Below are 27,656 nucleotides of genomic sequence, written 5' to 3'. Positions count from 1 at the left end.
ATTTATTGTAGAAATTTTAGAAAATACAAAAAAGCTCAAAAAGAAAATTAAAATGGCCATTGTTTGCTTCTATGGTGAGAGCTGCTTTATGACTTTTGGCTTGCTCCCCTCAGACTTGGCTTGCCTGGTTTGTTAACCTTCCATCCTAGTTTGGACTTCACCATTCCCATCTCATCACCAATTCTTCACCGTGATTGCACTCAACAATGTAGCCCAGATATGGTAAAAACTTTCAAATAAAGTGATTTGATGAGCTATAAAATGGTGCATTCTGAGTAAATGAGTGATCTGTGGTGTGTGACAATGGCACCAAGAGGGACACACATGGAAAATTACATCAGCAACAGAGGACCTCATAGGCACACATATTTGAAAATCTACAGCCTCGTCATTGGTCCAGGTTTTTCCTTGTTAAGCATAATCTAAAACATGGGTTTGTTTAAGTGACTTACTTCTTTCCTGTCAGTGGTGGGATAAGGGGAGGGAGAGCTGTGCTATAGCTAAGAGGACATTCTAGCCACATCTCCACTCATTAACTCATATATTGAAAAACCAAATGTATGGGAGCTTGGTCTGCCCACTGTTTTGTCGTTCTTATTGTAAGAGGGGAGCAGAGTGTATTTGTTTGCTAGAACTGCTATGAGAAATTACCGCAAACTTAGCGGATTAAGACAGCACAAACATATTGTCTCACAGTTCCATAGGTCAGAAGTCCAGGTTGGTTCAATTGGGTTCTTAGATCAGAGTCTCACAAGGTGAAAATCAACCTACTGACTGGTAAGATTCTCATCAGAAAGCTCTAGGTTCAGGTTGTTGACAGAATGCAGTTTCTTCCCATCAGAAGACCAAGGTCTCTGTTTCCTTGGGGCTGAAAGTTGAGGTCATGCTTGGCTCCAAGAGGTTTTTCTCTCTCTGGCTCTTGCAAGTGATCCCCTACATCTCAGAGCCAAGAACAGTGTGTTGGATCCTTCTCACACTTGGGATCTTCCCAACTTTCCCTTTCTTTCATGTCTCTTCAGCTACATCTCTCTGACTATAGCCTAATAAATTTTTCTGCTTTTAAGAGCTCCAGTGATTAGGTTGGACCTGCCCACATAATGTAACATGATCTGCCTATTTTAAGATCCATAACTGTATTAGTCTGTTCTCACGCTGCTGATAAAGATATAACCAAGACCAGCTAATGTTTAAAGGAAAGAGGTTTAATTGACTCACAGCTCCACATGGCTGGGAAGGCCTCACAATCATGGTGGAAGGCAAATGAAGAGCAAAGTTACGTCTTACACGGTGGCAGGCAAGAGAGAGCTTGTGTACCGGAACTTCCCTTTATGAATCCCTCAGAGCTCGTGAGACTTGCTCACTATCACAAGAACAGCACAGGAAAGACCAGCTCCTCATGATTTAATTACCTCCCACAGGGTCCCTTCCATGACATGTGGGAATTATGGGAGCTAAAATTCAAGATGAGATTTGGGTGGGGATACACCCAAACTATATCAATAACGTTAATTACACCTGCAAAACTCCTTTTGGCATGCAAGGCAACATATTCATATGCTCCAAGGATGAGGCATTCTTCAGCTTACCACACAGGGTGATGACAGGGATAGGGGATTTATGATATGACCCCTCTCTTTCCATCTTTTTTTCTTCCCTGTATCTCACACAGGCCCAGTGTTGACTCTTCTCAATATTACTCTTGTTTACCCTTGGCAACTTTCTAATCTATTTAAGGAGCAGGAATGTTCATCTTCCACTTTGAAACAGTTCTGTAATGTCCCTTTGTGTCCTGATCCACTGATTGGAAAGTGATGGTACAAGATATCTGCTTGTTTCATATCTTTTTGTAGCAAGAGAAACATTTGTTTGGGAAGCCCTCTTATTTTGTGTGTACCATGATCATGACTAACACAGTTGTCTTTTAAACATGTCTCTTTCCTCACAGTTCTTACATGTCATGGGTCACAGTGATATTTTTACCTCTAAGTGTTGATTTTTTTTGGTGTTTGATTTTTTTTGGTGACCCATCCTAACTATGGCTGCTGCTTTTTTACTCCACAGGCCTTTTTTAATGTTTTTTCATGATTTGTAGATAAACCCTTGCCCACCATTTTCATTTTTAAAAAGGAAAAATGCTGAAGTGAAAATCCTAATTGGAAAATGCTTGTATGAAGGGGTGAGTCATCGTCACTCAGATACTGGGCATGTTGCACAGATTCCCCATTAAACGGCACCATGGCTCATTAAACCTCACTGGTGAGAAAATTGAATCTTTGTTAAATGTTTATGTTCTTTGCTAATGTTAAATTTAGAATATCTCTGATGTAGGTACCCTTGGGGAAGATTTTAAGGCACTAGGTAAAGTGCCAGCAGATTTCAGTCCATAAGTTCCCAGATACAAGACCTGGAAAACATTCCCCACCTGGATTGATTTTCCAGTTTCTCCCTTTCCAGTCTTAATATATCCTACTTTTCTTAATCCAAACTGCATGACCTTCTGGTTACCTTTTTCTACTCTCAGTGACTGCTAGGGATTGTATTTCTGGTTTTTAATCAAAAAAAGGCAATTGATTATTCTCAAACACCACTCAGCCATGTTTGAAGTCAAAGGGATGGAGGTGGGATTGTCAGTGTTTTTATCATGCACCCATAATAAATCTCTGCCCACAAAGCCTTACATTTCAAAAAAAAGGGCTTAAACAAATATAAATATCAGCAACAGAAATATGACTCTAGAAATGTGACAGTGGAGTTAATGTAAAAAGAATAATTTTCCTCATTTAAAAGTTATTAGAAATCCCCTACATGTATACCAAAAGAATCAGCTGGTTATTGCATGGCAAAAGATACTAAGATCTCAGGAGCCCTTCTCAACAAGAGAATTAAGCTCTACCGAAGATGACTGGAGGGAATATTTTCTCATTTCTCTCAAGGATGTGCTTAGCTAGTATGATTCTCAACAGAGAGGAAATAAGTTAATTCATTACATATAACAAATGCCTTAGGGCAGTGGTTCTCAAGATTTTTGGTATCAAAACCTTTTGCAATTAGGAAAGACTCCAAAGAGTTTTTGCTTATGTGAGGTGTATCTATCAATATTTACATATTAGAGGCCAGGCACAGTGGCTCATGCTGTAATCCCAGCACTTTGGGAGGCCAAGGCGGGCAGATCCCTTGAGGTCAGGAGTTCAAGACCAGTCTGGCCAAGATGGTGAAACTCCATCTCTACTAAAAATTCAAAAATTATCCAGGCATGGTGGCAGGCACCTGTAGTCCCAGCTATTCAGGAGGCTTAGGCAGGAGAATCACTTGAGCCCGGGAGGCAGAGGTTGCAGTGAGCTGAGATTGCGCCACTGCACTCCAGCCTGGGCAACAGAGCGAGACTCAGTCTCAAAAAATAAAATGAATAAATAAAAAAATTTACCATATTAGAAATTAAAACAAATTCTAAAACATGTTTTTATTAATTTATTTAAAATAACAATCATAAAACATTTACATGTTAATATAAATAACATATTTTTACCAAAAGTTTATTTTCCAAAACAAAAAAATTAGAAAAGTGGCATTGTTTCACATTTCTGCAAAGCTCTTTAACATGTAGTGCAAATGAAGACAGCTGGATTCTCATATCTTGCTTCTGCATTCAATCTGTTGCATCATGTAGCCTCTGGAAAATTCCACTGTACACTAATGAAAGAATTAGAATAAAAAATGCAAGTAACATATTTCATGTTATTGTGAAAATAGTTTTGACCTTGAGGATCTTCCTGGATAGTTCCCAGGAACCTCCAGGGGTCCCTGGGCCACACTTTGAAGACATTGCTCTGGGGCATAAGAGCTTGTTTTCCCCAAGGAACCCTGTTTGAGGAAGGCTACAAGTGTGTGCATGCATATCATATATTCTCCACTATTACCTCAGTACCAAAATGATATAGCATATTGATGGTTAAAATAAAATTGCAAAGTTTTAGGGCTAAATTCCTCATGATGTTTTGTGTAACTTAAAATTTAGAATGACCTAAACAAATTGAATGACTAGTCATTAGCTTTGTAGATCTGGCATTGTTTCTCTCATGTAACTCAGAAGGGTTAGTCTTTTCACTTGTATTCTAGGATTATGACTGGCAGAGCTTGACTGGCAAAATCAATCCATGCATCAATTTTGCTGCTAAGTCTTCACTGAGAATTTAATAATTCTCAAAATAATTCCCATATTTCAGCCTGCACCCAGATACCACAACTTTTTTGAAAGCCTCTCCTTCAGATCTCACCGTATACAATTTTTCAGGAAAGTGGGAAAAGTTACAGGAGAATTTCCTCCTCCATCCTCCTTCTTAGAAAAAGAAAATACATTTTCACAATAATCATTTTTTGGAAATGGAAAAATGCTACCTCGTTTATGAGAATACCAAGGTTCTACACCTGTCAGGCCTGACACCGATTCAGCTGCAAAATCTTCAGATGTTTTTGATTCTCTGTGTGTCATGGACAAGTGTCATACATAGTGATTTGCACAGAAAACCATAGAGAGCACTCTCCAAGGGAGAGCCAGCATTTTGACAAGGCTGAATGACAACGTAGGAGGACAGGGGTAGGAACTATTGTATGTTGTTGTCCTTCGACCTAGGCAGATCTTGTGCTAGGTTGCTGAGAGCTGCCACATTAAAATATCATTTGAAATTTAAATTCCTTGTAAAACACTTAGAAAATAGGGGTCATAGAGCTGCTAATGGAGATTCTAGGGAAGGGGCTGTCACTAAATCACCCTAAAGACTTGGAAGTTCTGAAAGGGCATCAAGAAAGTGGTCAGCTGAAAAGACAGCAGTTTAAAAAAAATTGTCAAACATCTAAGAGTAAACACATTGAGATACTCATGGAGTCATGTAGTCATGATCTGTATTTTTATCACTAGGTGTGGTTATCATCTTTGAGATGAAAAAGGATTAGTTTTGATGCTATAATAGAGTTGTAGGGGAAAAGACCCTTGGTATGATGAAAAAATCAAAATATTATATCATTTTAGTGTTACAGTTTTTCTCTTACAGACTGAGAATTATCCTATGTTTGACCCTAACAGTTTTTCATGAAACTTGCATTACCTGCCTCCAAGATATTCTGCACATTTTCAACCTTCCTGTAGCCTCTAACTCATGTGTTTCTCTCCTGACTCTCAGCAGATGATCTTACTTTCCTGAAAAGACACATTCCCCTTCTGCCCTTCAGTTTTCTTCTGCCTTCTCCAGACCTTGCTCCAGCAGTTTTCTCATCCTTTCTCTCTGTCTTCAGCCTCTCTTTCCTCTGGCTTATTCTTGTCAACCTATAAATTAGATGTCTAAGAGAAAGCCTCACTTAGACCTCATAAGTTATGGCTTTTTCTCTCTTCATCCTTTATCAAAAGCTTCTCAGAGTGCAGTCCACACCACTGGCTCCTCACTCATTCCGCTCAAAGACCCTTACCATTTGATGGCTGAAATTATTTTCTCAGAGATCTGCAAGGATTCAGTGGCATTTCTCAGTTATCACATTCCTCTATTATGCTTACCTAGAGGTAGGGGTGTGTTTGTGTGTGTGTGTGTGTGTGTGTGTGTGTGTACATGTGCATGTTCATCTCCTTGAGCATAAGATCATATGTGCTTGTATCTTTTATTATCAATTTGAAAGACAAAGTGAATTTTTCTCTAGCTACAACATCATGTAAGAAGAGGGTATGTAGAGGAGAAGGAACTCCAAGCCACAAGTGAAGCATGAAAATCTGCCACTAAAAGATGAGTGGAACTAAAGTAAGTTAAAGACAAAATGACCAAATTGTCTGATAAAATCAAAGGTTTAAGAAATCGGATTGCATCTTTTCCCCTTCCTATCCACACGATGTCCAGAGTGTTTTCCTCTTGTGGTCCCAAGAACTCTCATTTACATGGGCATTGACTTTTAGTCCTGCCTTGGACCTAGGTTATCTTTACCAGCCTTGCAAGGTGTGGGCAGAGCTGGTATGTGCATGTCCACAGCTGTCCCAAAGATTCTCTCCTGCGGAGGTGCTGCAGAGAGTCTTGGACATTGCGTGTAAGATTGAGCCCTGCCAGGGAGCTAATTAAATGAGTTTTTTAAAAGCTCCAAGCTCAGCAGCAGAGTGGGTGGCTAATTTCCTGACTCACCTATTTGACTCATTTGTGTTCCCAGCAAAATACTCCCTCTTGTAGGACACACTGTCTAGCTTTATTTCAAAACTATTCCATTTCTTCACAGGGTAGACAAGAATGTGCAAAGTAACAGTTTTCTCTTTTGTGTGGGACATCGTTTATGAAACAGAGTTCAGTTCTTTGTTCAAAAGGAATTGTGGGAATGTCAGAGCAGTTATGAACAAAACTGGATATTCAATTAAAAGCCTTTCCTCTTAAAAGCTCAAAGCTTTCGTTAGACAGGTGTAGAGTCTTCCCCATAGGGCAGAGGGGCTCCATAAGTGGGGAGGTGGGGTAAGGGCCTTACCTTCCTTTTCCTGGGCCTAGGAAACCTCCATGGAAGTGGAGATGGGCTGCAAGTCATCTTCAGAGCTTGATGATACAAATGAACAGCTACAGAGTCTAAAGTTAACAATAGAGAGGCCATGATAGAATGTTCTAGTTAAAAAAAAATGTTACTTTTATTCCACAAGATCCTAGCCAAAGGAAAATGTTGCTAACCAAACCCCATTGTAACTTTTTTGTTTTGGGTAGATGCAGTGTCTTAACTCTATCCAAAAAGGAGAAAGAGATTACTTAGCAGAAGTGTTTGCTTGTTCCCTCCCACCAACTGCAACGTCTAAAAGTTGTGGCAAATGTTAACAGCTGCATGCTAGTAAAAAGCAGATCTCTGCCATTTTACCTATCATGATTAATAGGACCTATTCAGCTAGAATAATAAAATTGATTCTATGCCTGATAAAATGGGATCTGGCCAATTGTCATGTCAATTCATATGGCATTTTCTTTCTTTTTTTGGATTTTGCAGTAACTTCTTTAAAAACACTTTTTAATTGACAAGAACTGTATATATTATGTACACAGCATAATTTTTTGAAATATGCATATCTTGCAGAATAGCTAAATCAGGCTTATTAATATATGTATTACCTCGCATGCTTTTGTCATTGTGCTTAGAACACTTAAAATCTGCTCTCTCAGCAATTTTCAAGTGTACAATACATTGCTACTAAATATAGTCACATGTTGTACAATAGATCAAAATCCAGAGTCATTCCTTGCTGCCTCTCAAGCACCAACACCCACCAATTTTCCATCTCAAATATCTCTGGGGTGCTGTCACCTCTGCTATATCTTCCTTGATGTTCTCTCTTATTCGTTCACTCATTAAAGGCTTACTATGTCGCATCACTGTGCTAAGGGCTTGTGGCACACAGAGAAGATGAAAACCAGTGAGGTATATTTGTGAAGTACAAAGCACAGTGGTCATTGGTCTATTAGAACCCAGGACAGTGAACATGTAAGAGTTTGGGAGCATGAATCCGGGCCTCTTCCTGTCCTGGTACAACTCATCTCTTCCTGAAATTATTGGGAAAGCCTCCAGCCATGTGTCCATTCTGCCCTCTGCTCTTCTGCCTGAGCTTTATTTCCAAAGTTCAGATTGTGTCATCTCTCTTATTAAAACCCTTCATGACTCTCTATTATGAAAGAACAAGCTCCAAACTTCTTAATCCTACTTATAAAACCTTCACATTCAACTTGTCTGTCTTGCTTTTATTTCCTCGTAGCACTGTTTTGTACAACACAGTTACTAACCTCACCACCCATGAAATAGGAAAGGAAAAACAGAATTAAAAATACCCATTCTGCCTTAGACATTTGCCATCAATATCATTTTCAACCTCCCTCTTTCCCCCTTGGCAATTAATTCAATGGATCATTTTCCTAATGATTGCTGTTCACACTCTGCTTAACTGTTTTAAATATCAAGATATTGAATAGTTTTGATGAACACAGATAATCAGTGTGTGAGTATTGACTGCCCTAATGTACTCACAGAGGCTCAATACAAGAACATGGCATATAGTAGCAGGCCATGCAGCAGGCAACCAGAAACAAATCCTCATGTCCTGTTCTTAAGATCATTGAGTCCATCTTCACGGGTGAGTGTGATCTCAGGACAGAATGAGACTCAGGTGGAACCGTGTCTCCCTTCACAGGAGTAGGCCATTGCAACAACATTTATTCATTTATTCATTCACTCATTCATTTAGTCATTCATGCATCAAGCAGTTACTGAGTATGGTCTAACACCATGTGTCCAAAGATGAACCCCATTTCCAGGGAGCTCCCAGTCCTTTCTGTGGTAAGTTCAGTGATTTGATCCAAATGCTGGGATCCAGAAAGGAGTGAGCCAGGCCTCTGCTGAGGCAGTTGAAGGGTTGGGAGGGGGACAGTTGAAAGGTTCTTAAAGAATGAAAAAAATGAGTCCTTGGTAGCAAGAAGTGTGTGTGTGTGTGTGTGTGTGTGTGTGTGTGTATTTAAGGAATACAAGGATGGTAGCAAGTGGACGAGGAAGGAATTGCTGCCATAGTAGAAGGAATCAAAATGCAAAGGTAGTTAAGAAACTACACAGTGTGTTTGGGAAATTATGGCAAGTTCAGTGTGACTTGAGAAAGGCAGCAAAGGGGGCAGAGGGAGATGAGGCTAGAAGGTAAGCAAGGTGCAGATTGTAGGGTACTTGTACTTTGGAGCTCAAATTTTATCTTTAAGCAGTAGGGAGCCAAGAGAAGCCTCTTAAGCATCAGATATTTTTTGAATAAAGGTCTGGTGTTAGTATAGTCATTGGATTTGAGAAGATGAGCATTTCATTAATGTTTTTGAGTGGTGACCATAGCCAAGGAAAACTCCATGCCTGCATCCAAGCTAACCTGCATGTTTGTGTGTGTCTTCCTAGTGACAGTGCTGGCCATTTTCCATGAACTGCACGTCGACCCTGACCTGTACACACTCTTGTTTGGAGAGAGTGTGTTGAATGATGCAGTGGCCATAGTCCTTACATAGTAAGTACCAGAACTTGGCCTATGTTTCTTTAATCATGTGAAATATGCTTTCACTTGTATCTTTTCTCTTATGTCACAGAGATACGGGCAGTCTCTAGCTTTTTTCAAGGAATTGTTATCACAGAAAATTTCCATAATGGGCACAATTCATTAGGCATCTAATTTCTAATACTATTAATGGGTTTTATGTTTCCAGCTTATTACAAGATACTACCTAGAGGGTAACTTATTTTTCTCAGTGCATATATTTAGCTGATTCACTTAGGTTCCTAAAATGCACATAAATGAGCTTTTTTCATTTCAAATCAATATCATTTAATTTTTCGCCTTATATAAGTCACTTTCCAGATAATAGTCTAATAGAAACCCTTGTATTTATGGGCAGATTGGCAGATTGGAGCCAGAACCTAAGGGTCAGAATACTCTTTATTTCTCAATGCAAAGGTAATGCTGTATAGGAATGCATACATCTTTAAAACATCACATGACGGATGAAACTGATGGAGCTTCAGCTCAGCACCAGTGCAATTTCCCTTTGCGCTGGAAGGATATTAGGGTGGGGGGATGAGAGCCAGTGCTCTTTCCTTACCTCCCCTTTAGACACTTACCATTTATATTTAATAAATGCCACTTCAGTGGCTTTCACTATGTCAGAGGTCTCTTCTTGGTTTTAGATTAAGACCAACATTTTGGGCAACTGTCAGATATCCCAAAGGAAAGTCAATATCTGATAATTCAATGTGACAAAAAGATTCTATTCTGGGTGTTAATTACTTCAAATGCAGTTTAAAATGTATTGTGAAGTAACAAAAGATTGTTAAAGTCAGATCTCACAGAGGGGAGTAAGAAATGACAGAGCAGCACTACTCTTTTTTTTCTTTCTTTTTGCCAGTTGACATTTCTTAAGGCTGCTGCCCCAAAGTTGACAGTGAATTCAACAATTTTCAAGTGTGTCTCCAAATATACTTATATTTCACCTGGCCACAGAGAAGTGTCTTTCCTGCTTTAAAGGAAAATATCAGTGAGTGCAAATTAAGAGCAAAAGCCATGGGCAGATTCACAAATGCTAAAGGATGCTTTTAAAGAAACACCAAGAACAATTAATTAGGACATCAGGAATCCCTGTCCAAGAAATACTAGCATTAAAAGAACATTTGGAGTAAAACTCTTTAAAAATCTGCTGAGTTCCTCATTTTTACTTCCTGAGCTGCCAAGTTGGAAAAGGCCAAGCAAAGCAAAACCACTAAAGTGCAAATGAGCTTGGGAAAGAATCATGCCGACACAACCAGGAAAGGTTTGGCCTTTCTGCTTTCAGGACCACCATTCACAGTAGTTTTCCATTAAAAATGCAGACTCTAAGAATAAATGTTGATGCTGTTGAGCACCAACCTGGGAGCATTTGAAATAGTCCATGTAGTATCTCCTCATGTCAATATATGGTTGGTATTGCAGATGCCTCTCCTACCTCTCTACCCATGTCTTCATAATGTCTTAATAAAAGAAGATGTGTTTCACACCATGGCAAGAGCTCTTCCTTTCTAGGAATGAGATGTTGCCATTCTAGCTGAAATCTTGTGCTCCTCAGCTTCGGCAATTCTGGTATCGTACAGTGATCCCAGTGAGCTCCAATGTAAAATAAAGGGTAATCGTAAGTAAAAACATTTGACTTCCAAAGCTTACATATTCAAATACCAGCTCTTTCCTTCCATGAGCTCTGCTGAGTGGTCCATAGCTCTGCCATGTCCTGGTCCAGGCTGTCTACCAGTGCTGTCTGCTGCTCACCATTTCCTCCTTTTTGCACATTTCCATGTGCCATTCTCTTCACTTATTCTCACTTGCTTATTTGCTTCTTAAACTTAATTTATAGCACACATACTATTCTCTTTGTACATCTATTTACACACACGTATTTCCTCTCCTTGCAATGCCTTATCTCCACACACTCTCTGCCAACCATTTCCTGGTTCCCTTAGGAAAGCCATATTTGCATATCATTTAAAGGTTTTCTATGGCTTTCAGTCTAAAAGTTCAAACATTGCATCTCCATTTTTCTTTCTCTTCACACTAAACCATGTATAGCACCCTGACACAACTCTCTGAGTGGTATCTCGATGCCTTTGAACAAAGCTCACTCCTCCTGGGTTGCCCTCTTCAGCTTCTGTTTCTGCCTAATCAAGTCTTTCAACTCTTCCTTCAGTCTCCTTCTTTGGGAACCACCAGCCCATGGGCTGAGCTTCTGCTTCACCCCTGCACAGCATTGGATTTACATATATATTTGCCTTTCTAGATAGCAACTTTTTGAAAGCAGACTCTATGTACTTGAAGTGTGTCTTAGAAGAACAAATGAAAATCTCTTTTGTGTTGTCCCTCTCTTAGTTCCATCTTTGCGTGGTTTTGAAGTTTAAGAACAGTGATAGAGTTATTCTTGTGTTATGGAAAAAAAAGTTTTCCATTTTGATGTGCAACCCAATTATTAATGACTATAGCCCTTGGCCAAGCCCCCAGAGCCCCTCTGAAATAGCCACATACTTTTATTTACCTTCCCATCTTCTGCCAGCAAACCTCCTTGCTTAAGAACCAACTTTTTCAGTTTTAGTATTTTTACACTTTTAATAGTATTGTAGAAATACTGTGCTCTAGTATTTAGCCACATTTTAGATTAAAGCAGCTTTTCTTTGCTAATATAAGAAGCCTATTATTAATTATAATACTGTTGCTTAGGTTAAATGTGCTCTGAATTTCAGATACCTAACATAATTAAATTTGATGGCCACAACTCTTGTACGTAGCAGCAGGTGGTGGGTGCTATATCACGCTCTTGTGATTTACAATGTTCCAGAATTGTTTGTGCTAAAATGCAAATAACTTTATTTAACATAAAAGTTTTGAAGTTAGCTTGTCCCTAACCCATACTCTTATTTCAAGCATAAAGGGAATGTCATGCTCAAACATGTATGCATACTGCCTCACAAATGAATTCCACATGATAGATTTGCATTTCTAAATGTTATTTAATAGGCTATTGAAGGAAGGCAAAAGATATATGGAAGAGATCTCAAGGAGTGTGTGTTTTTGAACCCTGAACAAAAATCTTAATTTCAGAGGCAGCATGGTAGAGTAGAAAGAAGTCTAGGTTAAGAGTCAGAAGATCTGGTGTCAAGATTGCCATTAATTAACTGTGCAATTACTACAGTTGACAGGAAACCAACCTAAACTGAGGTCAACAAAAAGAGAATCTGTATTAGCTGATGTAACTGAACACCGGTAATAGAAATGGCTTAGTCAAGGATCCAGTGAAATGAACAGGAATCTTTCTTCGCTCAACTTCATGGTTAGCGCCCTCTTCTGGTTGCAAGATGGCTGCCAGCATTTCCCAGGGCTGTCTCTTCGGGAGATTTGACGAAGAATTTTTGTTCCACCATTCCCAGACTAAATTTTAGTAACTTTCATAGATTCTGATGCAGTTTATCTTGGAATAATCACTATGGTCAGTAAAAGGTACAGCATGTATTGGTTCGGGTCTAAGTCACCTGCTCCGTGAGTTCAAGGGTATATAATCAGCTTCATTGGAAGCACATGAGCTGAGACTGGAGAAAGGTAGAATTATTGCTCAGGTAATACTGCCATGATAATGGAAAAGTGGATGCTGGATAGAAACACAACAAAACAAAACCTAGATCGGGGTCCTCAACCCCCAGGCTGTGGACCGGCACTGGTCTGTGGCCTGTTAGGAACTGGGCCACACAGCAGGAGGTGAGCAATGGGCCAGTGAGCAGTACTGCCTGAGCTCCGCCTCTGTGAGATCAGCGGCGGCATTAGATTCTCCTAGCAGCGCAAACCCTATTGTGAACTGCGCATGTGAGGGATCTAGGTTGCGCACTCCCTATGAGCGTCTAATGCCTGAGGAATGCCTTTCATCCCGAAGCCATCCCCTCCCCCAATCCGTGGAAAAATCGCCTTCCACGAAACAGTTCCCTGGTGCCGAAAAGTCTGGGGACTGCTGACCTAGATGACCACTACAGTGATTTTGTATGGCCATAAACTCCCTATGCTAATTTCTTGATCTAGAAAATGTGAGAATAGTTGTTCTATATACATTACAAAACTATTCTGAGTAATAAATAAAGTAATATGGTTGTAAAGGCCCTGTAATCTACAGAGCCTATGCTATATAAATATAAATATAATTTCTACCCTTATTTATATCAATATCTTTCATTCTACTTACAGAGATCTCTCTGGTTTTATTAAAATTACTAAAGATAAGTCTGCTTCTAGTGAACATTTCTTCATAAATATGGCATTTTATGATCCAGGAAACTTAGAGAATAACCATTTTTACACGTGATTTCCTCTATTAGGAATGAATCACTTAGTTAAGACATACTGTCTAAAGTTGATAAATCAAAAAATAGAGGTTGAAGTATTAATATGTTACTTAAAGTTATAAAGGTGCTCACAACCAAAACTGATATTACTTGTGGAAGTTAAGCAGAAAAAAGAAGAAAAAAAGGAAGGAAGAAGCTAACTAAAATTCTGCATCTGGCATACTAGGAAACGAACAGATGCTATGTGGAGTTGCTAAGTCAAGAAATGAAAATATATGCGTATTCTTAGGAGTCATAGAATAACAATCAGAAAAAATAAAGACATAAATGGTTAAAATCAGATACCTTTGCTGTGTAGGATCACGATATAGGCAAAGGATGAAAAATAATTTAACTCTTTATTTTATACTCTTCTATGCAGTCTGAATGTTTTTAATGTGTTTGAATTATATTTACTTATGTATTCTTCTTCAGGTGATCAAGATATCAAAAGCAGAAACTATAAAATAAAAGCCCATTTGTTTGATGGCAATAGAGTCAAGCAATCCTAGCAGGCAAAAACCCACTACAAAAAAATTAAATGACGAATGATAAACCAAGGGAAGCATTTTCAACACATGTGTTGATCAGTTAATAGTCTTTGTAATATACATGATAAATTGTTAATCTCATCACTATACCTAATTCATTATTTACGTTACCTTGGGCAAGTTACTCAATCCCCCTGCGCCTTGGCAGACTCATTTGTAAAATAGACAGTAATAGCACTTACCTCACAGGATGGGATTAAACATAAAACACCTAAATCAGGGCCTGGTGGGTCATGCTCAATACACATTAAATGTTAGCTGTTGCTGTTACTCCTATCATCAAAGACCAATAATAAAAGGTAAGCATAATAGAAAAATGGACAAATGATATAAATAGTTAATAAACAAAAGAAGAAACATAAATGGACAACAGCTATACTAAATAAGATCAGCTTTACTAATAATGAAGTAAAACAAATTAAACCAACAATGGAGTATTATTTTTACCTGGCAAATATTTAAATCTTCAGGACTCAAAAAAGAATAATCATACTTGGAGTAAGTCAGGGTTTGGGAATTGAGAACCCTCCTATATGATTGGTGAAAAAGGAAAGTGATAAAACTTTTACAAAGGCAGTGTTTACTGAGCCATTAGATTTTGTGAATCATTTGATCCAGCAATTTTGTTTCTAGAAATTTATTCTAAGAAGTAATTATGGGCATGTGCAATAGTCTCTCCATGGAGATGAATGCATTGATTTGAGCAAGAAGTTGTGCACAATGGTTACTAGTTGGTTGAGTGAATTATAGCATATTAATATCATGGAACCCTATGAAGTCATTTAAAAAATAATAAAGAAAAAATATATTGATGGGAAAAGATATTCACAATACATTTTTAAGTAAACAGGAAATTTAATATATAATATTTATATTTAATAACTATCAAATAAGAAAATTTAATATATAATAAGATCTAGCTTGGTTAAAAATTCACAGCCAAATTTATATGTGCAAATGCACCTAAAATTATATATTATATATACTAACATACATTATATGTATTATATATGAATATAATTATATATTATTAAATTTTATATATTTTATTATACCTGTATATATAAATAACATATAACATTTGTATTATTTATATATAAATTACATGGAGTCAGAAGTGTTATGTGGAATCACAAGTGATTTTTATTTTTTTCTTTTGGCTTGCATATATTTACCAAAATAGAGCAAACTACTTATGATAGACTCTGGTCCCAAAAATCCCCATTAACATACTTAATAATTGGCAATGTTCATTTAAGTGCAGATTGCACAGAGGTAGAAGTCTGAAATTCTTTTGCTACCCATGATAGAAGAGAAAGAAGATGTTGGCTGTTTTGGGCCATTTATCTGCAAAACAGAAATACTGCTATTGTTGTACTGAAACCTACTCATAAAATAATTCCACAGTGTGCAAATGCCTCCAGGTTTTCTTAGAGATAAAATAAGTATCTCATTAAACAGCTGACTCTTGGATGACAATAAATACATACTAGATGTCTTTATTCCCTGTTAAGTAAATGCTTATAAGGAAATTCGATGTCATCAATTATTTAAAAAGATGAAGAAATGGAGCACCAATTTTGTCTTTTTAAATGAGACTGTTATGCTGCAGAGAAGTTCTTGCTAGATAATGTCATTTAAAGTGTGATACCAGTGAACGCTTGGCACTTTGAGTGGCATTTTGAAAGACTACATTTCTTACCGCCCATGTATCTTGAGGGAAATTTAATATGGAAGGTAATTGGATGGCTATAAGACTCAAGCAACCGTGGAACTGAGGGGAACCTTGAACTATCATCCAACCGTTCAAGAGAAATGTACTGAGGATCAGTATGTGCCAGACATTATGCCAAGTGTTGGTGACAAAGACTGGATGGGCATAGCCACTCATCTCGGCCCTCAATAACTCCTCACTGAAGTAGGCAAACAATATCTATAAAGGGATTTAATATGCGTAACAAAACCTCACCCTAGAAACCATTTCAGAAAATAGCTTACATGTATAGGGTTTGGTTATAAAAATATATTCCTAAAATAATTCCATTTTTTCTCTTGGTAACGTCATCTTGAAGTAGATTTCGAGTTCCTTAAAGGCAAATTTTCTCCATCCCTCACAACACATAGGCAATTATTTGGTAGGTTCTCCAATAACTACTGAATGAATGAGTTCATAGACCCCTTCAGAAGCAGATGGGGAGACGTTTTATAATACTAATCATTAAAACCTCTTCCAGAGATAGATATTTCATGTTCATTCTGCTTCTTCCAACTATTTGAAAAGCCTTGTTAGAAACCCTCATTAGTGCTCCTCCAATTTGACCCATAGTTGTAAACACAGAGGTGATAAGAAGCTGTCCCCTTTTGATCAGAATTAACTGAAACTGTTATCACAACCAGAGGTATATTTCTCATGAATCTGCTTAACTTAAGAACAAGTTTCTTATATCTTGACACATCTTTCTGAAGGTAATTCACTTTGATATTTGCCTTGAAAACTGATAATCAGCATGAAACTCATTTATTTTGATGCCTGTCTAGATACTGGGGTGATACATAATTAAAAAAAAAAAAAGTTATGGCTGTTTTTGCTTAAGGACTCCTTGTCTTGGGAGTCAATTTCATGCTGACTTCATTTTTCAGACACCAGGTGGCATCACATGGCAGGAATGGCAAGGCCACCCTGGGATCTTTAAACAGAGGCTGGGAAGCAGTGCTCAGCTGAATTCCAGCTTTAAGTTGTGTGCTCGGTGTGCTGCCCACACCCCTGCCTGCTGCTGCTGTCTTGTTTGTTTTTCTCTCATTCCTGTTCCCTGGTTCCTGACTCTGGCATCTCCCCTACCCTACCTCTTAATGTCCCTGTTCAGATTACTGGGACTTGACCTTGATTATATTCTGTGACTCTGTCTTTTGTCTCACGGATGAGATCTGACATTCACTGGCAGCGTCTCCAGAACTCTACCCCGTAACTTAGAACTTGCTTTGCTCGTGTCAAGTCATGCGTGACAAATTGGCCTACCAAAAATAAATAAAAGAAATCCATGTGGATGGTTTCTTATCTCAGTTCCAATGTACTTTAATTTATTGGTATATAAGTCAGATGCAAGTGATGAAAGTGATAGAAACCCAATTCAAATTAGCTTCAGCAAAATTTGTCCACTGGCCTGTTTAACAGGGATTGAGCTGACTCTGGACATGCCAGGCTTAAGACTTCAAACATGGCTGTCTATCTGTTCTTTTTCTCTCTTGGCCCCGATTGTCTCTGAGTGCTAGCCTCATTCTTTCATGGTGCAGATAGATAGCTTACTCTAGAAAGCAGGAGAAGGTGACTAATGGCATCTCCAGGCTTACTTTTTTTTTTTTTTAGCTCAAAATAACATTTCATTCTCCCAATATTTGCATATCAGTCACAAAGACTCTGTTTGCCTCTGCTTGTATCAGAAGATCACCCATAAGCCAATCACATAATACTCGAAGGGAATTAAACAAGGTCACTGGTCAGATCTGAGTCACATTCCCATCCCTGTGACCAGTGACATGGAATCCATTATTGGAAGAAAGTGGTTGGAGGACAAGTAAGAATAATAACAACCATATTTCATGATCCTAGAATGTTCAGAACATGGTGGATTAAAATGATAGGTCCTATGCACTAAAAACTCAAAGAAAGGCTTTATTTTAAAAAGCGAACATTACTAAATGTAGAGTTGATTTTGAAGGAGAGAAAAGGAAATTCTCCAAGTGTGAGAAACAAGAGAAAAATCACAGCAAGAGTGGGAAGCTGCCACTGTCAGTGGCCATGTGATTTTATATGGCATATACTGCCCAGAGGTTTTGGAGCTGGAATCCCATTTCCATGTGGAAATCAGAACCCTGTCTAAAGGTTCACTCATGGTAATACAACTTGAGCAAAGCTCTTTGAATAGGGCCTGCAATTTCAAAGTGTTCCTTCAGTCACATAGACTGTGTAGAGCAGCCTTAAGAAATAGCAACGAAACTTGCCATCTATCTGGAATTTGAGAAATCAAAATCCCTAGCCTGGGCAGTTGTGATACAGGAAATGTAAGCCAATAAATTAACATGGAGAGTTTTCAGGACTATTGAAACAACTGTCACAGCCGTATCCCCTCTTCCTATTTCCAAATACACTGAAACTGCCCTGAGGTGATACTTTCACATCCCAGGTACATAGAAATCCCACTTAAAAAACAGAATCTTTTCTGAAAATGAGCTCACAATAAAAAATGTACAGGCCGCAAGAAGAATAACTCCACCATGTTGAGCAAAGGAAGGAAAGAAAGGAGATAAGCAAAACAAAAGTAAATCAGAAGGACAAGCACCCTAAGGAACTAAACAAAAATTACAAAAATATGAGAAAGATTATCAAATGAGCACACTAAAGAGACTAAAGAGGTAAACAGTGGAGTGGGGAAAAATTAGAAAAGAATGGTATAATAGGAAAAAAAGAACTTTTCAAAATGAAAAGTGCAAATATTGACATTAAAAACTAAAGGGAATGACATAAATGTCATATTAAACCCAGCGATGAAACAGAATATAAAGTTGGCAAATGGCCCAGCATGTAGTACAGATAAAAAATATGAAAGGCTAGTTAAGAGATATGGAGGATAGCACTTTTTAAAAATCCAGAATTCATCAATAAAAATTTCAAAAGGAGAAACTAAAGAGAATTGAATTGTGGCAATATTTTGAAGGGATAATGGTTGATAATTTTCCAAAATTAAAGAGATAAATTGAAGCATCACATTATGTCTAGAGCTGGATAAATTAACACTAATTCACATTCAAATACATTGCAGGTTTTAGGTTTATTTTGTTGTGTTTTTAATTTTAAAGAGTCTATTTGAGCAACAGAGATTTGTGAATCAGGCAGCTCCAGGCCTCAAGTGTTAAGCCTCCACCTAGAGGAGGGGAACAGCTTTATAAGATATTTGAGGAAGCAAGACAAAGAAAATATTTGATTGATTATTGTTGTGAAATGTGAGATCATCAAAGAGAAAGAAGAAATTTTAAAAGCAACCAGAGAGGAGAGATGGTTTATTTCCAATAAGGATTACTTACACTTACTTACAATTTGGATGGCAATAGTTTTCTCATTGGCAACAATAGCTGCTTAGCTGCTAGAGGATAGAGGAATAATAGGTTCAAAGTATTGCAGGAAATTCATTGACAGCCCAGGTTCTAAATTCAACTAAAATGTCATTTAAGAATAAGATTAAATACATTTTCAGGTACTTCATCACTCATCAATGATAGAACTTCTGAAGAATATTATTGAGTAGAAATAGGAAACTAAACTCAGAATAAGGGAGAAACAAGGAGAATTGAGCAGAGAAATTGGTAGAAACATTCATAAATCTAATAAGGCATGACTATGACAATAATAGTGATGATAGTTAATGGGAGTGGCGGGCAAAATAAGTTAGAAACAATTACTCATAATCCACTACAATATTCAAAGACGGGACACTGAAAGGTCATAGAGGGAGAAATAATGTGTATAGAGAAAGTGGGGGAAAAGTGGAGACACAGCAAAAGACCTGTTTATTAGAGCAATGCAATTTTCACTCCAATAGCTACCTTCACCAGAATGCTTCTCAAAATGATGCAAAAGACTGCGACAACAGGCCGGGCACAGTGGCTCACGCCTGTAATCCCAGCACTTTGGGAGGCCAAGGCTGGCGGATCACGAGGTCAGGAGATCGAGACCATCCTGGCTAACATGGTGAAACCCTGTCTCTACTAAAAATACAAAAAATTAGCTGGGCATGGTGGCAGGCACCTGTAGTCCCAGCTACTTGGGAGGCTGAAGCAGGATAATGGCATGAACCCGGGAGGCAGAGCTTGCAGTGAGTCAAGATTGCGCCACTGCACTCTGTTGCCTAGGCAACAGAGCAAGACTCTGTCTCAAAAAAAAAAAAAAAAAAAAAAAAGACTGTGACAACAGATAATTCTTTTTAATTTGGTAAGGAAATGCTGAAATCAATTTATATCTGCTATGACACTGTAGGTAGCCCTTAACAATTTCAGACTGTGCAAAAAATACCTATTTATTAGGAAACTGGTAAAGTATCTTCCATGGGGCCCCTCCATTTTTCTCTCCAGAATTTTAGGCTCTCTTCTTTGTGGCTTTGGTGTTTCCAATTGTGGACATGTCATGTTCTCTCTGGAAGCTCTCCTTCATCTTTCACTTTGTCTTCCTAGTTTCTCTTACTCTGTTCTGACATCCTCGTGTTCTCATATTGTCAGATTTACAACCCACCTAGGAATCCACCTGTTCAGTTCTCTCCAGTTTCTGGGGAGAAGTTATCTCTGTGGGTGGTACACAAGGGACATTTTCTGCCATGTCAGCTGTTGTTATGCTGTGTAATGGAGATGCTCTAAAAATCTTTCTTTATGTGCACAGATGACTTTGAGATGATTTTTCTAGGCAACAAATCAGTTTTATTTTGTTTTGTTTTGTTTTTGAGACAAGGTCTCACTCTGTTGCCCAGGCTGTAATGCAGTGGCACGATCTCGGCTCACTGCAACCTACACCTCCCAGGTTCAAGGGATCCTCCCACCTCAGCCTCCTGAGTAGCTGGGACCACAGACCACACCAGGCTAATTTTTGTATTTTTTGTAAAGACTGGGTTTCACCATGTTGCTTAGGCTGGTCTGGAATTCCTAGGCTCAAGCAATTGTCCCGCCTTGGCCTCCCAAAGTGCTGGGATTACAGTTGTGAGCCACCATGCCCGGCCTAAAACCAGTTTTGAGAGAAAGTTGGAGGAGGTAGTTCTGTCTTCTGCTATATATCATCACTCAGTCATAGTAGCTCCTCATTCATTTTATCCCCTTGTTTGAAATGTTATCTCTCTAGTTTAGAGTGCCCAGTGATGGTTTCTAGTCTGGGCCCAATATAGCCAGCCATGTTCTAAGAGAATGACTTGCACTAAATACAGTACACATGAGGCAGAAGTGGAACCAAGGTGCTAACATAATAAACTAAGAAATTACAAGGTTGCGCACGGTGGCTCACGCCTGTAATCCCAGCACTTTGGGAAGCCAAGGCGGGTGGATCACAAGGTCAGGAAATTGAGACTGTCCTGGCTAACACAGTGAAACTGCGTCTCTACTAAAAATACAAAAAATTAGCCGGGCGTGGTGGCCGGTGCCTGTAGTCCCAGCTAACTGGGAGGCTGAGGCAGGAGAATGGCTTGAACCCGGGAGGTGGAGCTTGCAGTGAGCCAAGATTGCGCCACTGCACTCCAGCCTGGGTGACAGAGTGAGACTCCATCTCAAAAAAAAAAAAAAAAAAAAGAAAAAAAAAGAAAGGAATTACTGACCCAGGGACCAGAATATCCATGCTGGTATGGTCATTTCATTTTCTTTCTATTGTCAAGGTACTTAAGAAGATGAATTATAATCAGCATCCACTTTATTAATTCACCACAGAAAATTACTGTCATCGGGATTTCAAGCACCCCAAACACCATATGATAAAAGCAGCCTTTCCCATAGGCAGGCCTGCATATGAAAGCAAATAATATCAGAGGGTTGTATGGTAAACACAGGGACAGATGAAGGTTGTCAAATGTTTATCCTCATCCTTCACACAAAAGCTGTTGTTTATCCAATGGGTCTTTGAAATTTTGAAGTGCTTGGTAATGACCTCCTAAATCCATACCAACATTCAGGATAATTAAAAACTGCTCACTTTTAGTAAGATGATAAAATTTGGCCCTCTCAGTACTACACAAAGCTGGGAAGAAGACTAGCAGTGTTTGATTCTGTGATTCTTTTATGACTACCCAATCCTTTTTCTAATTGATACAGTATACTTTTGTCATGATGCATCAGTGTCATTTGTCTCTAATGTCCTTTAATATCTGGTCAGGGGTTGATAGTGATTCCCTCTCATTCCCTCTGTTGTAACCAGAGGCATGAATGCCCATGCTAGTGCCTACTAACAGATAGTAGTTGATAGCTAGGCATCAGGCTGTCTATGAGAAGAACCAATCTTGACTTCTGCCTCATGCAAGGAAAGATTTCCAAAGGTTGCCACACTCGCTTCTAATAACATAATCTAAAATACTGCATACTAAGCTTTTGGGTCAGAAGTCAAGAGTTAAAGGAAGCTATGGCTCTCACTTCAGGGGGTGGAGGGTAGGTGCAGCTAAACAAAAAGACAAAACTCTATAAATAGTTTTGGGGCTCTGAATTAAGAATTTTTCATCCAAAGACATATTTTCTTTCTAATACACTTAAACCTGACTTCTCATTCTGAACAACCAAGAAAATGTCTTTTATTTCAGGTGACCAAGTCTGGATTTTTTCTAAGAAAAAACTTTCCAGAGAACAAGGGGCCAAATCAATATGCAATAATAATTTTGGTCTAAATTAAAAGCTCTCTCTTGGCCTGGAGAATATAATCTGCTCATATTACTTGAGCTTTGTAATGAATTTACAAGACAGGCTTATTGCCAGTTTTATGTGGGCTCTGCCTTACTGGGGCATGGGATGCTTAGGGAATCTGATTAAAACCTTGGGAAAGAGCAGCTGTTCAGCAATAGAGGGTGAATTCAGGGCCCATTTTTCTGTGCCTGACTGCAGGGCCTGACACCCTTGCCAGCTATTGGAAGATAAATGAACTGTCTTTGAATGCCTAGCTCCCTTGTTAATAGCTTTAAAATATTGGTTGTTTATGGGAAAGAAGTCAGGAGCTCTTATCAATTTTCCTGCCCCAGGGGTCCTCAAATATATCACTTTTCCCGTTGCCAGAATGGCAGGCAGTATTGAAGGAAAAAGGAGGAAATTCTTTCACCATTTAGAAGTTCTTCATGGATTCACAGCAAGAGTTTCTCATTTCAAAAGTTAGAGTGAATGCCCACTAAATTATTAGATGAAATAACTCACATAGAATTTAGACTCCCCTCTTCCTGGCATTATCCTGCAATATCAGAATCATGATGTAGTTTCATCTGTTTTTTCTAAAGGCAATTAATTCAAATTGGATATATGAAAGTCAAATTCTAAAGTCTGTGCCAAATGGCTTATTTTCAGAATGGCAGTTAAATGGTCAAATTTGATCTAATGACATTAAGGTGAGCATGCTATATTTTGGGCCATTAAATTAAATTCTTACCCTAATGTGTTTTGAGGTTTATCCTTTTTCATTTTTACCCCCCATTCCCATTCTCACCCGCCTACTTTGCTTTTTATGGAACTCAGAAAAACTTCTTGGCAGAGTTAATTCTTACTTATGTAACAGTTGACTATTTAAATTTTCAGATATTGTTTATTGTTCTTATAGCTGTTCACTTTTAGCCTTTTCATTAGCATAACTTATAAGAAAAAGTTAGGAAAAGTAGAAAAATATATGCATGTATGCAGTTGGCTTTCTTTTCATTAGTAATTCTAATACAAGTTTTCATGGAAAAACTTTAATCTTAGAACATAACCTCAGATGTGGAAAGTATGTGTTTTACTTCTCCATGGAGAAGTAAAGGTTGGGTTGGCAGTCTGGATTCTGACTTTATTATTTACTAGTTTTATACCAATGAGCAAGTCAGTCAACCTCTTTAAGTTGGTTTTCTCATTTCATCAAGATGGCAACTTTAGTATACATATCTATTCTCACCTTTAAAAAATAAAAACCTGTTGAGATTTTAGATGTCAGTTACGCTAAAGCTATAGATTATAAAAGCAAATAAGATCAACTTTAAGGGGAAACAACATTATAGAAAACTAAAGCCCAAAGCATATATACTTACTAAGGTGTATATAAATGGCTATTATATCTACAAAACAGGGATAAGCTGAAATTTGAAATATAAATCATAGAAATTCAAAATAGGAAAATCCATATTTATCAAAGCCTTTGTTCAGTTTTTACATTCTTTTTGCTTTATTTTTGTCTGAATGGGTTAATTTAAAAGATATGTAGTCAAGCTTTGAAATTTTTCTGCTTTGTCTAATCTATTGTTAAAGCTTTCAACTGTATTTTGTAATTCCATCTGTAAATTTTTCATTTCCAGAGTTTTGTGCTTTCTTTAAATATCTATCTCTGTAGTAAATTTTTCATTCATATCTTGAATTGTTTTTCAGATTTCTTTGTATTGGTTTTCAACTTCCCCTTGGATCTCGTTGAACTCCCTTATGATCCATATTTTGAATTCTTTATCTGTCATTTTAGAATTTTCATTTTGGATAAGATCCATCACTAGAGAGCTAGTGTGATCCTTGAGGGGTGTTACAACACTGTTTTTTCATGGTGACAGAATTGGTTGGTTCCTTCTCATCTGGAGAAACTGTCACTTCTTATTTTTGAATTTACATTCATTTTAATGGGACTTTATTTTTCCCCTTGAAAGTGTGACTGTTGCATATGTTGGGTAGGGTCATTTGGCTTTGCTAATTTGTGATCTTGGGGTGGGGGCTAAGGCTCCGTATGAATTCCTTGGTTATAGATAGCCTTAGTGTAGTGGCTTGCTCAAATGCTGCTTGTTTGTAGGTTTTAGTAGTGGTGTACTCTGCATGTTGTCAGGCTCACTGTCTCCTGCAGAGATGGGGAAGTAGAAGTCTCAGGAGATTATCTCATTCCCCAGTGCTTTGCACTTCTGTTTATTCTCACTTATAAATGGGAGCTAAATAATGGGTACACGTGGACATAAAGAGTGGAGTAATAAACATTAGAGACTCCAAAAGGTGGAAGGGTGGAAGGTAATGAGGCTGAAAAATTACCTATTAGGTACAATGTTCACCATTTGGGTGATGGATACACTAAAAGCCCAGGCTTCACAGCTATGCAATATACACATGTAATAAATCTGCCCCTGTACCCCCTAAATCTATAAAAATATTAAAAAATTTAAAACTGGGAAAATCAAAATAAAATACTTAATAGATGAGCGGATATGATTGTCTACTTAGAAAATACAAGAGACTTAAATGGCAAAATATTAGAGAAATCGGAAATCTGGCTAGACAGATGATTGACAGACAAAAGTCAGTAGCTTTCCAGGACTTCAGCAACAATTAATGATAACATGTAATGGAAAACAGTTTTATTCATAATAGCATCTTAAAAATCTAACATAATTAGAATAACATTAAATAATAAATGTACAAGATATCTGAGAAGAAAAATTTTAACTTTAGTAAAGGACCAAAAAGACACCACAAACAATAAGGAGAGCTGCTATGAGACAGGATGACAAGATTCAAAAGCCAATTCTCCCACAAGTAAACTATATCTTCAATGTAAACTCACTTCTAAAACCACAACATATATTTTTAAGCCTATTCTACAGATCATGTGGAGCTTCTGCTTAAGACAGCAGGATAAAATAGTTTTATTCTACTAGACTCCCTGAAAACAAACTAAAACTAAGAAAAACACTGAAAAATAGAAAAAAAATAGCCGTTGAAACAGGAAAGTATTCACAACTCCAAACTATAAACTATGAAATATTTAAGTATGAAGTATTGCCGCTGAATAATGTGAAATCTTAAACAAGAGATGGTAAGATGCTGAGCCAAGTCTGTTTCTCTCGGACCTGATAGCACATCATACTACTGAAAGGAGCATCCAATATTCTGCTGTTTAGAGCACAGTTAAGATCAGGTAGATGGGTCAGGGGAAAATGGGGAAAATAGTCTGACCCCTCAAAACAGCAGCCAAATAGAAATCATGCTGACACATTCTGGTTTCCTAGCCAAGGACTCTGCTGGAGGCTATTTGTATGGAAGAAAAGGAGAAGTTTTCAAATTAAAACATAATTCATCCGCAACTTCGGGGGTTTTTCTCTGTGCCACCTCAATTTGAATGCCATAAACTACAAAAAGATGTATTCCCAATAGCAAAGAAATAACAGATTTGGTGACAGATGCTTGAGACAGCCAGTGGCAGTTTTAAAACATAGCCCCCAAATTCATTGACACTCCTATCCAGAAATGGGTCTATGCCCCACCTTCAGTGTAAAGAATACAGAAGGGATGCTGTCCCAGTTTCCAGGTCCAGGCCTTTAGTAACTAGCAGCTTCCACCTCCTCTCGCTTAGAGAACTTACTCTTGGAACCCAGCCACCTTGCTGTGAGGAAGCCAAATCAGTCTGTGGAGAGTTCCACCTGGAGAGGGAGCGACAGCCAGCAAGACTTGCCAGACATGTGGGCGATCCATCTTTGAAGTGGATCCTGCAACCCCATTCAAGCTGCCCCAGCTGATACCACGTGGAGCAGAAATGAGCTGGACCTACTGCACCCTGCCCAATTTGCAGAAATGTGAACAAAATAACTGATTGTTATTTTAAGTCACTCAGTTGTGGGGTGGTTTGCTCTGCAACACTAGATAACCAGGACAAAACCCAAATTAAAACAGCAGTGAGCCTCAGCTTACTCTACCCTATTTCACCCCTTTCCCTGTACTATTATTTAATTATTTAAATAATAGTCAGGCTTTTAAAAAGATGAGTTATAATCAAAAAGGAGGGAGTAATATATATTCATTAAAACTGCAAAGTAATTTTTTATAAATAATGGAGGGAATTTAAGCCAAAGAAGAGCCCACAATCCCCAAACAAATACATCAAAGTATTTCAGAAAAATTGTAGACAAAGAGTTCTCCATTATTCTGAAGGACTTGCAGAAAATATGGATCTCTCTGTCTCTATATGTGTGTGTGTGTGAAGCAATAAACATCAAGCAAATGCTCCTAAGTATCAAGCAAACAAAAATGTTCAGAGCAAAGTTCAAAATTTTATAGAAGAGATATAAAATAATTAAGGGAGATTAAAAGTGTGCTGGCAATACTCAGGGAAAAAGTTGGAGAGATCAATAAAATCACTAAAGAGACAAAAGACACTAGAAGCCACAAAAATACAATGAACTTCACTGAAAATATTGTTAAATACATAGAAGACGCATTTGGGGAAATAACACAAAACAAAGTAGAAAAGAACAAAGATATAATGACTCCAGAGAATATGACAGAAATGAATGACAGATAGTTGGATGGTTTTGAAGAAGAAAACACTTGGAAAAATATCATAAGAACATGGTGTAAAACAATATTCTCCCGAAACAATGTAATAAATAGATAGACATAAAGGACCCACTAGATTTCAGGAAAGTTTCATTTGGAATCATCGACAGCATAAGATAATCTGAAAAAGTTACTGAATTTCAAGCTTAAAGAAAGGATTATGGGAGCACATAGGCAGAAAATTCAAGTCACTTACAAGAGCAGAAATAATCAGGTTGGCTTTCGACTTGACCACAGTGACATTCAATTTCAGAAGATGGAAAGGCAGCACATGTTCACTTCTGAGGGAAAGAATGTGAAACCCAAGCCAGATTGTTCCTCCAATATAAAGGCAACAGTTTGGGTGTTTTAATAGATAGTGTGGGGCAATGGGCTATTCCTTTGGGAGAAAAGTTAAATGCCTAATTCACGTCATTCCTAAAATGAAACTAGAAGGATTACAGAGCTCAATGTTAAGAAAAACTACAAAAACATTGGAAGCATATTTTAGAATTTTAGAATATTAATACTCTTCCTAAATAAAATTCAAATCCTAGAAACAATAAAGAAATAGATAGTATTTTATAGATCTTGTGTGTGTATAGCTATAGATATGTTCAATGTTTTCAAGAATCTTTTTGCCAGTATCAGCCAAAATTTAAATGTGCCCAGTGAAGGTACTTCTAGCAATCTACCTTA

At 37.9% G+C, this 27,656-nt stretch overlaps 1 protein-coding gene and 1 long non-coding RNA gene across 6 annotated transcripts in view, besides 2 other annotated features; one reads left to right on the top strand and one right to left on the bottom strand.

Annotated features, from left to right (window-relative positions):
* SLC9A9 (solute carrier family 9 member A9) overlaps positions 1-27,656 on the top strand; it is a 583,247-nt gene that overhangs the window by 187,192 nt on the left and 368,399 nt on the right. For 4 of the 5 annotated variants that reach the window (XM_017006203.2, NM_173653.4, XM_017006202.3 and 1 more), the window contains one exon: positions 8,917-9,022. In XM_017006203.2, coding sequence (XP_016861692.1) covers positions 8,917-9,022 — 106 coding nt within the window. Of the gene's footprint in view, positions 1-5,685; positions 5,784-8,916; positions 9,023-27,656 lie in introns of all 5 variants that reach the window. The other variant, XM_011512703.4, reaches the window with a different exon arrangement.
* Positions 3,456-27,276, bottom strand: LOC102724120 (uncharacterized). The gene is made up of 3 exons (XR_001740940.2): positions 27,175-27,276; positions 6,487-6,581; positions 3,456-3,690 (listed from the first exon to the last, which is right to left on the bottom strand). It is a non-coding gene; the product is annotated as an uncharacterized LOC102724120 (long non-coding RNA).
* Positions 12,315-12,814: an enhancer, noted in NCBI's record as "H3K4me1 hESC enhancer chr3:143367305-143367804 (GRCh37/hg19 assembly coordinates)". NCBI's record gives its function as "activates a minimal SCP1, AML or CMV promoter by ChIP-STARR-seq in naive H9 embryonic stem cells {active_cell/tissue: H9 hESC(naive)}" and the evidence as "EXISTENCE:reporter gene assay evidence [ECO:0000049][PMID:30033119]".
* Positions 12,815-13,316: an enhancer, noted in NCBI's record as "H3K4me1 hESC enhancer chr3:143366803-143367304 (GRCh37/hg19 assembly coordinates)". NCBI's record gives its function as "activates a minimal SCP1, AML or CMV promoter by ChIP-STARR-seq in naive H9 embryonic stem cells {active_cell/tissue: H9 hESC(naive)}" and the evidence as "EXISTENCE:reporter gene assay evidence [ECO:0000049][PMID:30033119]".

The sequence above is a fragment of the Homo sapiens genome, chromosome 3 (assembly GCF_000001405.40).
Source record: "Homo sapiens chromosome 3, GRCh38.p14 Primary Assembly".
Taxonomy (NCBI): domain Eukaryota; kingdom Metazoa; phylum Chordata; class Mammalia; order Primates; family Hominidae; genus Homo; species Homo sapiens.
Note: the sequence above shows the minus strand (reverse complement) of the source record. Positions and strands in the feature narration are given on the sequence as shown.